Here is a 17,773-nt window from a genome sequence, read left to right as displayed (position 1 = left end):
ATTCTTTTGGTCTATTAGGGATGAAACCAGGGAAAGTGGAACCATGAGCCCAGGCTGCCACTGTGACCATTAATAAAGGTTAATCTGGTCCCAGTCCTGGGCATGCCTTTCCAGAAACCTCTGTGACCTGCATTCATGACAAAGACTGAATAAAAAGACCTAGAGACAAAACCTGAATACTATCTACATTTTTTTTTTTTTTTTGAGACGGAGTCTCACTCTGTGGCCCAGGCTGGAGTGCAGTGGCGCGATCTCGGCTCACTGCAACCTCCGCTTCCTGGGTTCAAGCGATTCTCCTGCCTGGGACAGTAGCTGGGACTACAGGCACCCGCCACCACGCCCAGCTAATTTTTTGTTTTTGTATTTTTAGTAGAGACGGGGTTTCACCGTGTTAGCCAGGATGGTCTTGATCTCCTGACCTCGTGATCTGCCCATCTCGGCCTCCCAAAGTGCTGGGACTATAGGCGTGAACCACTGTGCCAGGCCCTAAATTTCTTTAGACTGTTTATTTAAGGTCAGTGAGAGATGAAAGAAGGCAAAAACATAGAACCAGCTGTGATGTTTAGATGGGAGATGTCTCCTACCTTTAAAGTGACATGTTCAGAATCAGGGCTCAGAGTTTGAAGTAAAGAGTCATTTCTTAGTTCAGCTTTCAGTTTGTATACTTCAGCCTCTGCCCTTTTCAAAGATTTCTGGAGAGTCAATTTTTCTCTGTTCCATACTTCTTTTTCAGAGGCAATGATGGCTTCAATGTTGGCACCACCATTCAATGAAAACCTGGAAGACTGCAAAGACCACAGCCTACTTACACAAGTCTCTGAAGAAAAGTCTGAGCTAAACATATTAAAAAGATATCTGCATGATGATGCAGTCTCAACTTTCTAACCCCACCCAGACAAAGTTCAAAGCCAATCTCAATTGACATTACGCATATACACTAACTCTTAAGTACATGGTCCTTTGCTAAGTACATTAGTTTTACAACTAAAAGTCCTTGAGAAAGCCTGGCCACAGGGAAGGTTTAGCAGATTAGCAGAGCTTTGAACTGAAAAAGTCAAGAGACCTAACAGACCATTTGGGTTCAAATTTTGAGCCTGTGCCTGAAATAGTGTACTGGAGAAGTGGGAAAAAAACAAGCCAGTATGTACATAATAAGTGGATTTCTATAAAAGGCACGTAAATGTGTTATCATGTATTTAACCACACAGTTGTCTTACAGGTCTTTTCTATCTTTATACTGGGTGATTATGGAAACTAGCAATTAATTTTATACCTGTTTTTAAATGGAAAAATTTTAAGTAAATTCTCAGAGTAATTTCAGACTGAAAGACGTAATTTAACAGAACCTTTTAATTGAGTCATCAACACAATAACTAATAATTAAATGAAGAGAACAGTCAGGATTCACATTTGAACATCTCGTGTATCTGTTGTTGGTCCCTAGGTAGCAAAGTATCTGGCTTTGGAGATACAAGTATCTTGGTTTGACTACGACTTCAATTCAGTTTTCTCAGGTATAAGGTGGATGTGGATTAGAGATTCTGTATGTATACAACCCAGAGTCGAGTACAGAGATGGTTTCCAATAAATAACAGTAATTATTATAACTTAGTAATAATATTATTATTGTCATCCCTATAAAATTTTCTACAGATCCTAAGAATCAGGTGTGTGATAGTTTTACATTAACAGGATTAAAACTTGAACTAGACAGCAGAAATGATAAGCATGCACTAATTCTCATATATGGAGATGCTAAAAATGGACATACATTATCTCTACCAGCTCCTGTCTGTCGATACCACCTGATCTGCTCTTCCAGCTTCATAACCATGTTCCTTAAGTCATTCTTCTCTTCAGTCAGTTGACTGATATGCCCTGTCAGCTCAGCATTTTGTCTCAGTAGTCTTTCAGTCAATGAGCCACAAGAAGTACTTGGGGACACCAAGCTGGGCTGGAAAAATAAAATGGTGTAAGGTCACTTAAGCACAAATGGATGTGAATAATGCATATAAAGTGTGAATAGGCACCGAGAACAACAGAATTCATGAATTGGTGCTTGAGTTGAGTATTCAGTAATAGGTAGATATTTACCAGGCAGAAAAGATAAGGAAGGGCATATTAAGCAAAAGGCACGAAGGCTTGAGCGAGTGTGTATTGTTTTCGGGGTGTTGTAGGTTGCCTGGTAAGTCTAGATTGCTTCACTTTATGAATAACAGACCTAAATGTAGGCAATGGAGAGTCACGAAAGGCTTGATGCAAAAATATGACACAAAATTTATGTGTTGGGAAAATTCCTTTGGTAGTAATGTACAAAGCAGGGGAAATTAGGGAAGATATAATCTTCGAGTCAGGTAGACCTATCAGGAAGTTGTTTCAACAGCCAGGTAAGAAATGCTGAAAGCCTGAATGGAGGCAACGACTAAGGGACAGAAAGTAAAGGGTGTGTGGGAGAGGTATTTAGAAGGTAAGAGGGACAGGATTTAGTGACTGTCTAGATGTGCAGATAAGGGTGAAGGAAAGTGGTCTATGGTGACTTTCAGCTTTCTAAACTGGGCAATATCATGACTAGAAATGAGGGTCTGGAGCAGGAAGTAGAAAGGGAAGATGGTGTTCAGTTTGGAATGTGCCTGTGAGGTTCCTAAGGGGTCACTATGGGGTACATTTCCCCAGGGAAAAATGTTTAGTAACTAATTGAAAATATAAACCTGGAACACAGGACAGAAGTCTAGACTAGAACCACAGTCCACTAAAGATAAGCTCCATAAGGGTGAGGTTTTAGTCAGATTTGTTCACTGTATCTCCAGAACCTATCTGGCACAGAATAAGTGTTCAATATAAGTATTTGTTTAATAAATAAGTCTAGTGAGAGCTCAGGGTGTCGGACTGTGTGAGCTTTCATAGTTATAGGTTAGAGAAAAGAAGGAAGAGGGTAGGAAGAGGAATCATAAAGGCAACTGATGAAAGAAGCAGAAGAAATGCTAGAATACTGACATGACAGGCAAGGAAAGAGAGGGTTTTAAGAAAATAAAACAGGTCAAAAGTATCAAATGCTACAAAGAAGTCAAGAGATAAACTGAAAAGATTCACCAGACTAGTCAATTGTTTAGACACTGTAGGAGTCTAAGGGTGTTTCATGGAGTAGACAGGATAGAAGCCAGATCACTCTTTCAGGAAGCTTGTCTCCATACAGTAAAAGGTCAACATAATTATTCAATGACAATAATGAAAGCTAATTCCCCCCCTAAGCTTTCATTATCTTCTCTTGGGGGAAAGCAAGCATTATTATTCATATTTAAAATAAATAAAAAGATACAAATAAAACTCTATAAAGAGTATAAAGAATATGCTGCAAGTTTCAAATTATCCAGTTTCTATTAAATCTTTGCTCTCAATGCTTCAGAAATAACTTTTAAAAAGTATTACCTCTTCACCTTGCTGGCCAGTTAATTTCTGTAGTTGTAAAATAATTTCATCAATATTTTCCTGAACCCAAATGAAATCTTCATCATCTGCTGTTTCAAACTGTAGTCTTCAAGAAAAAGACAAAAAGTCAAAACATACCTTCTCAATTGGGGGTGTTTACTACCACAAACATTACAGAGCAGGCGACGTTCTACTTCACCTATCACTTCTCCCTTATATCCCATGCTTTCTTCCCTGGGTCAAAGTGTTAGATAGTTGTTTTCAGACATTTGAGTTCTGTTAAAGAATATCACCTCCTAATGTAAACACGCATTACCTTTAAAATTTCAATTCCCCACCCTTGGCTAGCTGTCCCAGAGGCATGGGGTCTACCCAGCCTAAGAATACTACTTTCCCAAAGATCAGGCAGAAAAGTCTAACCTCTCAGAGGCTTTCTGGGGTAGAACCTGTAGTTTTGAAGCTACACATTGAAGCTTTTGTCTGATCATTTCTAATTCATGATTACAGCCGGTTCCTCCTCCATTCATTTCAATCAATTTAGCGTAGTTTGATTCTTTTGTTTCTCCTTCTATTTTCTGTTGAAGAACCCAATTTCTAGTTCTATCACTGGTTAAGCTCCACGTGGTTGGCTGGCAATTTTGGACAGAATAAGAAAACAATAATTATAAGTGAACAGCATATCACAGTCTATCTTAAGGGAACACAATTATTGTTTATATCCAATAAACTTCTATAGATTTCATTTTTAAGTGATTTACATATAGCTATTTAAGTAATTTAATCCAATATCAAAATTTAATGATCAAAGGGCTGCAGTGCTTTCCTTAAAAATATCTAAAAAGAAACTGTCAGTTTACCTCATTAAGGTTCTGATACAGAATTCTTCTACTTTCTCGTTTTTCTTCTCGTTCTAGTTCTTGCTTCTGGAATTCCTGCATGATTCCTTGTAGTCGCTGTCCTTCAAGGTCTAACTTATAAACTTGTTGTCTTTTCTCTTCCAGCTGGCGCTGAAGATCTTCCACTTTGGACTGGAGCTCATGCATTTTTTTCTGTCCCTCAGTGTTGGCCTCCTGTTCTGTCTGCAGTGTTTTCCTGTGAACCTGCCTATCTTTTTCCATTTGCTGTCGTGTTTGCAAAGAATCCAGTTTATATTTTTCAGTCTCATTTAACAATTCTACTATGCGACTGTGTTTTTCCTCTAGCTGTTTCTGCAGCTCTTTCAGTAGGTCCTCTGAGGGCAAGGGTGGCCGAGACTGTCCAGTACCATCACTGCTCTGCAGCTGTGCGTGCAATTCCCGCTCCCTATCTAGGGTACTACTCATTTCCCGAATTCGAACTTTCTCAGATTCAAGAAGTACCTGAAGCTCTAAGTTTCGACCTTGTTCTTCTGACAACTGGGCATCATATAGCATTCTCTGTGATTCTATTTTTTGCTGGGATTCGTTCAGTAGTTGTTTCTGTTGTTCCAAAAGTAGATTTAGCTGAAGATTCCTTTGTTTCTGACTCTCAAGTGAAAACTTCAGATCCTGGTACGAGAAAATCAAATTTAAGAACTTGTTAATATTATTAAAAATACTTGGCCGGGCGTGGTGGCTCACGCCTGTAATCCCAGCACTTTGGGAGGCCGAGGCGGGCAGATCACCTGAGGTCAAGAGTTCAAGCCCAGCCTGGCCAACATGGTGAAACCCTGTCTCTACTAAAAATACAAAAAAATTAGCTGGGTGCAATGGCACGTGCCTGTAGTCCCAGCTACTTGGGAGGCTGAGGCAGGCGAATTGCTTGAACCCGGGAGGTGGAGGTTGCAGTGAGCCTAGATTGCACCACTGCCCTCCAGCGTGAGCAACAGAGTGAGACTTTTGACTCAAAAAAAAAAAAAAAAACAAAAAAAACTTCAGAAGTATACAACCATGCCTTTATTAATACTATGTTGGTAGTATCTTTATTAGAAAATAGAACTGATTATTTAGTTTATTAACTTAAATGTTCAGTAGTTAGTGCATAATCATGAAATATAAATAAAAGAAGGGTAAGATAATACTTTTCTCAAAAAATCTTAATCTCACTAAGTAATATGAAGCAGGGTACATTTCTTATAAGAATAACAACCTTTAAAAATATAACTGTTCCTGGAGATCTTACGTTTTGATAAGATTCCTGTGCACATTAATAAATTTGTTTAAAAAATAAATGTTCCTGATATAATGTGATAGGAGTTCCTGAAAAACCTTGTGTTTTGCAGTATCACATGCTAAAAATAATAGGGCTTATAACGAAAGCAAGGTTAGGGGCAAATAACTCAAAATATACATAAACTTTTAATGGTTAAAAAACTATAATTGGTACCTAGGGAGATATCATGTCCCTGCCGGGCAGAGAGTTCTCTTTGCCTGGAGGCTAACACAGTGGACATTAAAAATAAAAAATCGGGCAAAAATGCCAGCAACACATTGTTTTTCAGCACAGAGTTAGTGAGAATTAGGATTACGTGGCTAGAAGAGCTCTGAGCCAGTGAGACAACAACACCTCTATTAAAAGCAGATACTTCATGTATACTCCACCTCTATTAAAAGCAGATACTCAAAGCAGCCTGCCTTGAGCTGAGAGCCTTGCAAAGCAGGGGTGTGTCTCTCTGAAAGGGGCCAATGTTCACTTTAAATGTTCTTAAGCAGTGAGGGCTCCAGAAAAGTATCCCTGTTCCTCTTCCCTAGGAGAAAACAGGAACCAAAACTACCTCTGTATTAAACTGACAGGATTGCCATATTTATCTGTGTGTACCAATTCACATGCCCAAAACATGTTGCAGCAGAGCAGTCTATATGCATCTTTGGATGTAGCAAAACAAACAAACAAACAAAAAAAACCAATCACCACTCCATTAGCATTTCCTCATAATACGGTTTATGTAGTATTCAATGCACAGTGAACAACTTACCATATCTTATTAAGAAGTCTAAGGTTGACATTTTAGATGGAGGAAAGCCTTAAGACCCTCTTCTATCATTCTGGATTTTCCAGACATTTAAAGACAAAGATAACAGTACCTCAAGTTCTTCTTTATCCCGTTCTTCACTGCGTCCCAACTTGGCTTTCTCTTTCTCCAAAGCCCACTGGAGCTCTCTTGATTTTTTCTGTTCACTTGCTAATGTGTCATTAAGCAAATGTACTTCATCTGTCTTATCTTTAACTTCCAACCTAAGTCAGAAAGACAAATGAATTTCCATAAAGCTATGTTGACGAAGCATATAATGAGAGAGAGAAAAACAGCTTCTACTGATAAGTTGAGGCATATAATAAACTAGCTAAGAGGAAAATATAAACTATTAAAGATTCTTGACTGGGGTTCATTTCAAATTAACTCTTTCTTTTTTTTGTTGTTTTGTTTCGAGACGGAGTCTCGCTCTGTCGCCAGGCTGGAGTGCAGTAGCGCCATCTCGGCTCACTGCAACCTCCACCTCCCGGGTTAAAGCAATTCTCCTGCCTCAGCCTCCCGGGTAGCTGGGACTACAGGTGCCCGCAACCACGCCCAGCTAATTTTTGTATTTTCAGTAGAGATGGAGTTTCACCATTTTGGCCAGGATGGTTTCAATCTCCTGACCTCATGATCCGCCTGTCTTGGCCTCCCAAAGTGCTCGGATTACAGGCATGAGCCACCGCGCCCGGCCCTCTTTTTTCTTTTTTTTTGAGACGGAGTTTCCCTCTTGTCACCCAGGATGGAGTGCAATAGCGCGATCCTGGCTCACTGTAACCTCCGCCTCCCGGGTTCAAGTGATTCTCCTGCCTCACCCTCCCATGTAGCTGGGATTACAGGTGAATGCCAGCATGCCCGGCTAATTTTTTGTATTTTTAGTAGAGATGGGGTTTCACCATGTTGGCCAGGCTGGTCTTGAACTCCTGACCTCAGGTGATCCACCTGCCTTGGCCTCCCAAAGTGCTGGGATTACAGGCATTAGTCACCACACCTGGCTTCAAATTAACTGTTTCTAGTAGTACAATTACTAGTTATTAATTATCAATGCAAACAACTATGCAATTTATTGTTACAAAATAGTATTAATAAAAATTTTGGCTGGGCATGGTGGCTCACACCTGTAATCCCGGCACTTTGGGAGGCCGTGGTGGGTGGGTCACCTGAGGTCAGGAGTGCGAGACCAGCATGGTCAACATGGTGAAACTCTGTCTCTATTGAAAATACAAAAATTAGCCAGGCATGGTGGCGGGTGCCTATAATCCCAGCTACTCAGAAGGCTGAGGCAGGAGAATCACTTGAACCCGGGTGGTGGAGGTTGCAGTGAGCCAATATCATGCCATTGCACTCCAGTCTGGGCGACAGAGCGAGATTCCATCTCAAAACAATTAAATAAAAATAAAATAAAATAAATAAATAAATAAAAAGTAAATAAAATTTTTGTCTTTTACTGAACATGGGAATCACCATATCTATTTGTGTGTGAAGCTAATGTTCAATATAAAAATGACTAGTTGTAATGTGTCTTTGGCAACAGAATATCTCAGTATTTATACCAAGAAATATATTCTTTTAACAAGCATTGTCTCTTCAAATATTTTGCATATTTTAGCTCACTCAATCATGAATTCTACTGCGTTCATAAATATCACTTCAAATTGGTTGATGGTAAAATAAAGGTCAAAGTCAAAATTCTATTTCATACAAGTCTCACACAGAACTGAAGTCACAGTAGAGAATATGCTATAATCACGATCATAAGTTCATCATTTGGAAACATTTAGAGTTTTTTCTATTATAGTTTTTCCTAAAAAAAACAGTTGCATGCTATTTAAATATCATGCATGTTACATTTCTCTATATTTGCACAGTGTTTATGACAAAATTACTCCCACTCCTTGTTACATGTTTTTAATAAGGAAGCCTGGCACACCTGAAAGCCTCCAATTCTTTTAGGTGTTTATGCTGTGCCTTGAGTGTTGTTTCTAGTTCCAATTTAGTTTGTGCAAGCTCACTCTTCAGTTCAGCAACCACCATTTTCTCAGAACTCAGCTGCTCCTGCAGTTCCGTTGCTCTGTCTTTCATACTGCTGAGCTCCACTTGCATCTCCAGCATTTGAGACTGCTTCTGCTGTATATTATATTCCAAGAGTTCTACACAGAACATGATTAATATTTGAAACATAATCAAGCAACTCATATTTGGTTTATAAATATTTGTTGATAAGAACTGATTTGTAGTTAAGGAGATTACTTCAAAGGAAACATGAAAAATTATAGTCCCAAGAGTTGGTAATGCAGTCCAGGCATGGTGGCTCACACCTGTAATCCCAGCACTTTGGGAGGCTGAGGTGGGAGGGAGGACTGCTTAAGGCCAGGAGTTCAAGACCAGCCTGGGCAACATGGTGAAACTCTGTCTCTACTAAAAATACAAAAATTAGCTGGGCGTGCTGGCATGTGCCTGTAGTCCCATCGACTCAGGAGGCTGAGGTGGGGGGATTGCTTGAGCCCGGGAGGTGGAGGTTGCAATGAGTTGAGACCATGCCACTGTACTCCAGCCTCAGTGACAGTGAGACCCTGTCTCAAAAAAACAAACAAAAAGGGTTGGTAACGTATAAAAATAAATTTCAGGCATGTTTTCCTCATAGTGCTAGTGGCCAAGATTTCAGAGCTATAAATATATAAGGATAAAAGTTTAAGAGAATACATTAATGGATGCAAGACTTAAAATTAAAAAAAAAAACTTTAAATGGAACTCATATTTGTACATTCAGAATTTCAAGAATGTACATTAAAAAATTCCAAAGATTTCTGATAGTCACACAAAGTATTTGGAGGAGTTACCCAAGTTACTACAATGATGAGCACTGCTGATATCTTTTGTTCAGCACCCCACTGCAGATAGTCCCCTGGAACTTTAATAGGAGTCTGTTCCCAGAAGTGGGAAATTCAAACCCCCCTTTGGATACCGTCCTTTTATCCATTGAAAGCCAACCAAACCCTTACTACATGTTTGCTACAATAAAAACAAACTGAAAATTTTAAATGCCTCAGTATGTTAAATGAAAAAAAGTATGTTATAAAATATGTATCAGGATTCCTTTTTTATGAAAAATACAAGCTTATGTACACATGCACATTGAAAAGGTCTGGAGACATATTTACCCAGGTGTTAGGTAGTCATTATTTTAGGATTTAGGTGATTCAAGGGATGATTTTCACTCTATTCTTTTCTGTATTCTACCATAAATATGTAATACTATACTACTCTAATAAGAAAAACATTTTTAACTTAAAAAATACTATCAAAGTTCAACAATTCACATTACAATTCATATTACTGACGTTAGGAGACAGAAATAACATTAGCTTTAGATGATAATCAATCATGTTTAATTTAGGCTTCTAAAAACTTTAGAGGTTAAGGATTTACATAAATGTGAATCTGTGACATTAAGCTTTCAATGGTGTTCTATTTAACCTAAGTAAAACAATATTAATCTATCTCTAAAAGACATCTTCAATTACGCCTACGTTTAAAGTGATATGTTTATCTCATTATGACTCTCTTTTCTGAAGTAATTTTAACCTGCTTTTTTTTTTCCTTCTTAAACTCAGTGGTAAGAATGCTTCTGCTTTGTTTTTTTTTTTTGTTTTTTTTTTTTGAGACAGAGTCTTGCCCTGTCGTCCAAGCTGGAGTACAATGGCACGATCCCAACTCATTGCAACCTCTGCCTCCTAAGTTCAGACGATTCTCCTGCCTCAGCCTCCCGAGTAGCTGGGATTACAGGCACCGAGCATCACGCCAAGCTAATTTTTGTATTTTTAGTAGAGATGGGGTTTCACCATGTTGGCCAGGCTGGTCTCGTACTCCTGACCTCGTGATCCTCCCACCTCGGCCTCCCAAAGTGCTGGGATTACAGGCGTGAACCACAGGGCCCAGCCTGCTTCAGCTTTATAATGACCAATGTGAGACCATGCTGTGACTTTCAAAATTTTCCAAAGGATACATGTTTCTACCAGTACATGACACAAAATTACTGAACACACAGGTATGTGTCCTCAGTGGACATGATGAAAATTAGATTTCACTTTACTTTCTAATGATTTCCATCTGTAGCTCAATTTAAAAGACCAGATACTGTTATCAAAAAGTACCTAAACAAGCATATCACAAAAATAAAAATCCAACTAGCCAATTACCATATGAAAAAGGACTAAACCCTTCAGGAACTAGAGAACAGCCAATTAAAACCACAATAAGAATCCACTGCACACCCATCAGATTGGCAACAGAAGTCTGACTATACTAACTGTTGGCAAAGATGTGAAGCAACGTAACTCTCATATACTGCTACTAAGTGTATAAACTAATATGACTATGTAGGAAAATCATTTGACCTTATCTAAGATAGGCATTCCATGACCCAGCAATTCTGCTCTTAGTCATATACTCAGAAGATGCATGCACATATGTAGCAGAAACACTATACAACAATGTTTATAATAACATTGATAGCTAAACAGCTAAAAAGTAGAAACAACCCAAATGCTCAATCATATTAATAGAATGGATATATTAATTTTGGAGTATCTATACAGGAAATTCTTTTTTTTTTTTTTTTTTTTGAGATGGAGTCTTGCTCTGTCGCTCAGGCTAGAGTGCAGTGGTGTGATTTCAGCTCACTGCAACCTCCACCTTCTGGGTTCAAGTAATTCTCTGCTTCAGTCTCCTGAGTGGCTGGCCTTACAGGCACCCGCCACCACGCCTGGCTAATTTTTGTATTTTTAGTAGAGACTGGGTTTCACCATTTTGGCTAGGCTCATCTTGAACTTCTGACCTCGTGATCCACCCACGTCAGCCTCCCAAAGTGCTGGGATTACAGGTGTAAGCCACCGTGCCTGGCCCTACACAGGGTCATAGAGTTATAGAGTAACAAGAATGAATGAACTAGAGATAAATGCAGTAACTTGGAAGAATGTTCTACTACTAATTTGGAAGAATGCAGTAACTTGAAAAATGCAGTAACTTGGAAGAATGTTGGAAGAATGTTACAGAGAGGTGAAAGAAACAAGATAAAAAATACATACAGATTGATAAAGTTCAAAAACAGAAAAAAACTTGAAACTTAAATGTTTTAGGAATATATAAATAGATAGTAAAACTAAAGAAAAATCAGAACAATGATTACCTCTAAGTTACTCAGAGGAGCATGTGCTTGGGAGAAGGGGCTGTTGGGATACTGGCTATATTCACATGGGTGATGTTTCCATAGATACTCATTTAAAAATGCGTCATACTGCATATTTGCAATTTGTAATTTTCTGTATGTTATGGCTCACAATTTTTTTAAAAAAGGATTAAAAAATAATTAGTTACATGCATTGTGGATTTTCCTCTAAAGAGTATTTTCTGTTTTATGATTGGAAAGACTGTTTTCTTAACATACAGCTCTAAAATAAAGAAAAAGAATGAATCCAATGGGCTTAACCTTATCAGGGGAATGGCAGTTTATTTTAAAGTCAACGTAGCTGTTTAAACCAATTAGACAATCCTCTAACCCCTAGAGTAATTAATATAGATTGTATCCTTAACATTATGAGAATGAGAAGAAAATGTGACCAAGAAAATATGTTTTAACTTAATAATAATAAGAAAGAAAACAAAGTGAAATCTTTTCACCTGTTTGTGTAACCATATGAGCTTGTCATACAACATACCTTGGCTTGGTTTCTCACTCTCTTGTTCTCTTTTCAGAGTAATTTTCCTACCATTCATTTGTGCATGCAGTGCCTGAATTTCAGATAACAAACTCCTTCTATCTGCTTTCTGGAGGCATTCCATAGCTGCTTGATATTCAACACCCTGTAACAAAGGAAGGTAAAAAACAAGTGAAGAGCAATGTAAAGGCAATACAATTAACAACCAAGAAATCTAAAGAAGAATGAATGGAACACACATACTAAAATTTTCTTTTTTAAAAAATTTTCTTATTTTTCCTTTCCAAAATGTATGAGGATATGCTGCAGACAAATGCTCATTTACCTCTAAATACCAGAGTGTATTTCCTTAAAACAAGAACATTCTTTTACATAACTACAATTAGCAAAAGTGGAATTAACATTACTACAATACTATTATGTGATATACAGAGCCTATTCAAATTTTGTGAAATGTACTTCACAGCAAAAAGAAAAAAAGTGATATTCCCAAGTCTTTCTTTGTCTTTCATGACCTTGAATTTTTGAAGACTACAGGCTATTTTGTTGTACGTTCCTCAATTTTAAAAAACTTTTTATTTTGAATTAATTAAAGCTAAAGTTCCCATGTATCTGTTAGCCAGCTTTTCCCAATGATACCATCTTGCATTACCATAGTATATTATCAAAACCAGGAAAATGGTATTAGTACAATACCAAACTATAGGGCTTACTCAGATTTCATTAGTTTTCACATTAGTTTTCTTGGTGTGTAGTCCTACAAAATTTGATCATTAGTTTTCTTGGTGTGTAGTCCTACAAAATTTGATCACATGTATGGATAGGTTCACGTAACCACCACTACCATCAGAGTACCAACTGTTTTCTCACCACGAAGAAACTCCTCTGTAGTCAAACTCTCTCCCTAACCCTAACCCCTGTCAACCACTGATCTGCTTTCTATTACTATAATTTTGTCATTTTAAGAGCATTATATAGCATACAAGTGGTTGTAGGCATAAATAGTTTGTTTCTTTTTAATTGCTGAGTAATATTTCATTGTATGGATGTACCACATTTTGTCCATCCATTCCCCTGTCAAAGAACATTCCAGTTTTTGGCTATTGCCCTCCCATTTCACATTGCTACCAGCAATCTATGAGACAGTTTCTTTTCATCCTCTCCAGTACTTGCTGTCACTATTTTTTATTTTGATAGATGTAGTGTTCTCAATTTGTTTTGGTCTGATATTTCCCCAAGAGTAGACTCTGAATATTCATTTGACAAAAACACTACAAAAGTGGCATCGTGCCCTTCACATTAGGAACTGTATGATGTCTATTCCATTTCTGGTAATAGTAATTCTGATCACTTGGTTAAGGTGGTATCTGCAAGGTTTCTCCACTGTAAAGTTACTGCTTTTCCCTGGTAATTAAAGAAGATTTTCTGGGGATTTACTTTGAGACTATGTAAATATACTTTCTTAACAAACCTTTTCACACTAGTTTTAGCATCTGTTGCGAACTATTGCCTGAATAGTGTTTAATAAAGGGTGATTTAACACTACAGTGTTTAATAAAGGGTGATTTCCTAATTTCATTGTTCCTTCTACATTTACTAGCTGTCATTCCATGGTAATACTATTTATTTATTTATATATATATTTATTTATTTATATCAGTATGGTCTCATGAGTTCTTATTTCACTCTTTGGCTTATAATTTGTCACTATCATTTAATATAATGTTTAAATTTTTCTAGAATTTGGTCAATTGGAGCTCCTTCAAGCTGGCTTCTATGACCTTTCGACATGTTCCCTTCATTCTTTGAACAATTCCTTACTTGCCAGCAAAACAAGATGTTCCAGGCTCACCTTATACTTTCCCTGGTCCATCCCTAGAATCATCAGTTCTACAAGAAGTCCTAGTTCTTTTCAGTGGAGAATATATTAAAAAAAAAGATCTGGGTGTTAAGTATTATGAGTAGATTTTTAACTATTGATTTGATTCTGTTACTAGTAATAGGTCTTTGGAGGTCTTCTATTTCTTACTGAAAGAGTTTTCATAAGTGAATTTCTTTTTAGAAAATCTGTCCATTTCACCCAAGTGTTTAAGTTTACTCTCATGAAATTATTCATAATATTCTATTATTTTTATATCTCAGGTATATCTTTAGTTCATTCCTAACTTTAAAAATGTGTGCTTTATCATTTTGCTTAACCAATTCTCCAGAAAAGTTCAAATGTCCAACTTTTAACATTTTATCCTATTGTACCAGTGTGTCTATTGACGTCGTCTTCTTCGTTAAAGGGAATCCTCATTATTCTGATTCCATATTTGCAGATTTGCCTTCTCACTAAAATGTATTTGTAACTCCCAAATCCATTGTTGTGTTGCTTTCATGGTCTTTCACAGAAATGCATACAGCAGCAAAAAATTTAAATGGTCCAATGTGGGTGTCCCCAGCTGAAGTCAAATGTCCTTTTTACAGAGTACTTAGTGACTTTTCAAATTTTTGTGCCTTTTATTTGTGATTTCACTGTTTAGAATGGCCCCCAAAAGTAGTGCTGAAGTGCTTTATGGTGTTCCTAAGTACGAGAAGGCTGTGATGTGCCTTAAGGAGAAAATATGTGTGTCAGACAAGTTTTTTTCAGGCATGAGTTATAGTGCTGTTGGTGGTGTTCAAGGTTAATCAATCAATAATATATAGTAAATAAGGTGTCTTAAAATAGAATCACATATAGACAAGGTTATGTGCTGACTGATGAAAATGTTGTGACCAAAGGCTTACAGGAACCTAACCTTGTATTTCCCTTAGGAGCAATGACCGCTCAATGTTCAGAGCAACTTTATGGAACATAACCAGTGCAAATAATGAGAATTTACTCTCTCAAATTTGTTTGGGATTATTCTGTTGCTCTTTTTCTAATTTCCTAGGTTAGAAAATAAGCTCATTAACTTTCAGTCTTTCTTACCTTCTAACATAATACGTTAAAATAGTTACAATAATTTTTTTAAAATATTCATAGTGGCTCCTATTAAAATCTTAACCTTCATACTTAAATTAAGACTCTAAAATCAATAGTCATTTCCTTATTTCTATTAAAGTGTTTTTAAAATGAAGTTTCATTATACCTGTTCTTGTATTCTCTGTTCCAAACAGTTTAGTAAACCAACTGCATCTGTAGTACCTAGAGCTGTCAGCTCCGTCCGAAATGCTGCTAGTAAAACACTACGCTCTTCTAAGAAAACTTGTTGAAGGGCAAGCAGTAGTTCACCTCGCCAGTCTGAGAAGCTCTCATGAGATTGAGAACTATCATAAACCTAGCAAAGTACATATAACGATAGTTAGTTTTCAAATAAGCATGTTTTAAAAACATTCTAAAAATATTAATCTACAAAGAAAAATAATTAAAAGCCTAGGAGCATGTGTACTTCTTTTATTTATTTATTTTTTTCTTTTTGAGACAGTCTCACTCTGTTGCTCAGGCTGGAGTGCAGTGGCATGATCTCAGCTCACTGCAACCTCCACCTCCCAGGTTCAAGCGATTCTCCTGAGTAGCTGGGATTACAGGCACCCACCACCACGCCTGGCTAATTTTTGTATTTTTAGTAGAGACGGGTTTCAACATGTTGGCCAGGCTGGTCTTGAACTCCTGACTTCAGGTGATCCACCCACCTCGGCCTCCCAAAGTGCTGGGATTACAGGCATGAGGCACTGCTTCTGGCTGAGTTTCAAGTGTGAAAATATATATATATAGTTATTCATGCAAAAATATGTATAAAAGATAATTTAATTTATAATGTATTATTATTGTTCAAATAATACATAAAATGATTTAAATGCATAGTATTCTTTGGTTACCTCGGCTTCTCTTTGCAGTTGCATCTTTGTAATTAAATCCTTTAGAGATGAGATTGTATTGATGTAAGCTTTTCTCTCTTCTAGCCAAGGTTCTGAAACCTGCTGAATAGAATGGTCCTCTCCATCACTATAGGGAGACTCAGTGAGAGAAAGCACCTGCATGCCTTCATTATGGACAGCTCTCAGTAATCCCTGGAAACCAAAACCCAAGAGCCAGAATTATGACAACTTCTTCACAGACTGAAAAATTAGACTTACAAACAGAAATAAATTTTAAGCAAGATAGCTTGCAGAGAGAAAACTCCAGCCCAACATTACTGAATGCCTTCTTCCTGTGGAGGGGTAAGCCAACCCCAGCAGATGGCCTATGACTTTCCATAGCTCTCATCTCTAAGTTCCTTCTGTTTGGCTAATGTACTCTTCCTAGGTTTACTGATAAGCTACTGATTTGACCAAAATAAATACATGGGCTCTAACTTCTACTCTTTGAGACTACTTTAAAAATTCTGGCAAACGAATACATCAGGAATAAGAATTATTAAGAAAAAAAGTCTTCATACATATTATCATTAATCTCTTACTTTATTATCTGTGAAATGTGGAAATAAAATAGATCTCTCAGATTCCTTCTAGCTAAGCAATTCTCTCTTCAGAAATGATCCCACCATATAACTTCTAATGAACTGCTATGTTCAACATAGAAACAACACTGGCTGAGTTAATAAAAGGTATCTATCTTTTAGTACCTTTATTTTCTTTGGAAAGGAATCTGTTGCACTTTCACTTTCTTCTCCTCGGCCTTCTGATGCTATGTCAAATCCCTGACTGTGTGTAAGATAAATTCCCTGACCCCAGTCTGATCCAGAATCTAAAATAAAGAAAATAATTTGCTGTTAAAAAAAAAAAAATCAAACCCCAGTCCCCAAAAAACTATTATTTCTTAAACAACTACTACAAACATTACAAATATTTATATAACTTACCACTGGAGCATATTTCTCTAGTCTGGTAAGCATCAGAATGTGCTAGCTCAGGAATTGAGGATCCCTAATTAGAGAAAACAAAAAGTACATATATTTTTTGCTTTAATAAAAATAGAATACAATGAATTATTTTGCTGGTTTCCCGTGCTGTAATCAATCAAATCTGTCACACCTTTCATAATAAATGAAATTATTCATGGTTTTTTTTTTTAACAAGTCTGTTTCTTCATGAATATTACCATAAGAAGAGATACTCATGAATTAAGGAAAGATAACATGTTCCAAATCCATACAGGAACATCATATATTATTTAACTCTATGCAATGGAAAGATTTAAAGAAATTTAAAACTAAAAACTCTTTAAATTTAAAAAAGTTCAAAACCATTAAAATTGCGATCATAAGGAAGAGACTGCCCCCGTTTTTTTATTTTCTCTTAAAAGCACACAGTGTTGGAACCAACCCAAATGCCCATCAATGATAAACTGGATAAAGAAAATGTGGCACATATACACCATGGAATACTATGTAGCCATAAAAAAGGATGCGTTCATGTCATTTGCAGGGACATAGATGAAGCTGGAAACCATCATTCTCAGCGGACTAACACAAGAACAGAAAACCAAACACTGCATGTTCTCACTCATAAGTGGGAGTTAAACAATGAGAACACATGGACACAGGGAGGGGAACATCACACACTGGGGCCTGTCGGGGGTGAGGTGCTAGGGGAGGGACAGCTTTAGGAGAAATACCTAATGTAGATGACGGGTTGATGGGTGCAGCAAACCACCATGGCACGTGTATACCTGTGTAACAAACCTGCACATCCTGCA

At 37.2% G+C, this 17,773-nt stretch overlaps 1 protein-coding gene across 3 annotated transcripts in view; it reads right to left on the bottom strand.

Moving 5' to 3' along the window:
• The window catches only part of AKAP9 (A-kinase anchoring protein 9), a 169,812-nt gene that overhangs the window by 9,033 nt on the left and 143,006 nt on the right, over positions 1–17,773 (bottom strand). For all 3 annotated transcript variants that reach the window (NM_005751.5, NM_147185.3, NM_001379277.1), the window contains 12 exons: positions 16,938–17,001; positions 16,701–16,822; positions 15,955–16,146; positions 15,225–15,413; positions 12,112–12,256; positions 8,325–8,544; positions 6,468–6,618; positions 4,284–4,952; positions 3,847–4,055; positions 3,427–3,532; positions 1,772–1,954; positions 585–785 (listed from right to left, as the gene is read on the bottom strand). In NM_005751.5, the coding sequence (NP_005742.4) occupies positions 585–785; positions 1,772–1,954; positions 3,427–3,532; positions 3,847–4,055; positions 4,284–4,952; positions 6,468–6,618; positions 8,325–8,544; positions 12,112–12,256; positions 15,225–15,413; positions 15,955–16,146; positions 16,701–16,822; positions 16,938–17,001 (2,451 nt within the window). The remainder of the gene's footprint in view (positions 1–584; positions 786–1,771; positions 1,955–3,426; positions 3,533–3,846; positions 4,056–4,283; positions 4,953–6,467; positions 6,619–8,324; positions 8,545–12,111; positions 12,257–15,224; positions 15,414–15,954; positions 16,147–16,700; positions 16,823–16,937; positions 17,002–17,773) is intronic.

This window comes from Homo sapiens, chromosome 7, assembly GCF_000001405.40.
Source record: "Homo sapiens chromosome 7, GRCh38.p14 Primary Assembly".
NCBI lineage: Eukaryota > Metazoa > Chordata > Mammalia > Primates > Hominidae > Homo > Homo sapiens.
The sequence above is the reverse complement of the archived record's forward strand: the minus strand, read 5'-3'. Positions and strand labels throughout refer to the sequence as shown.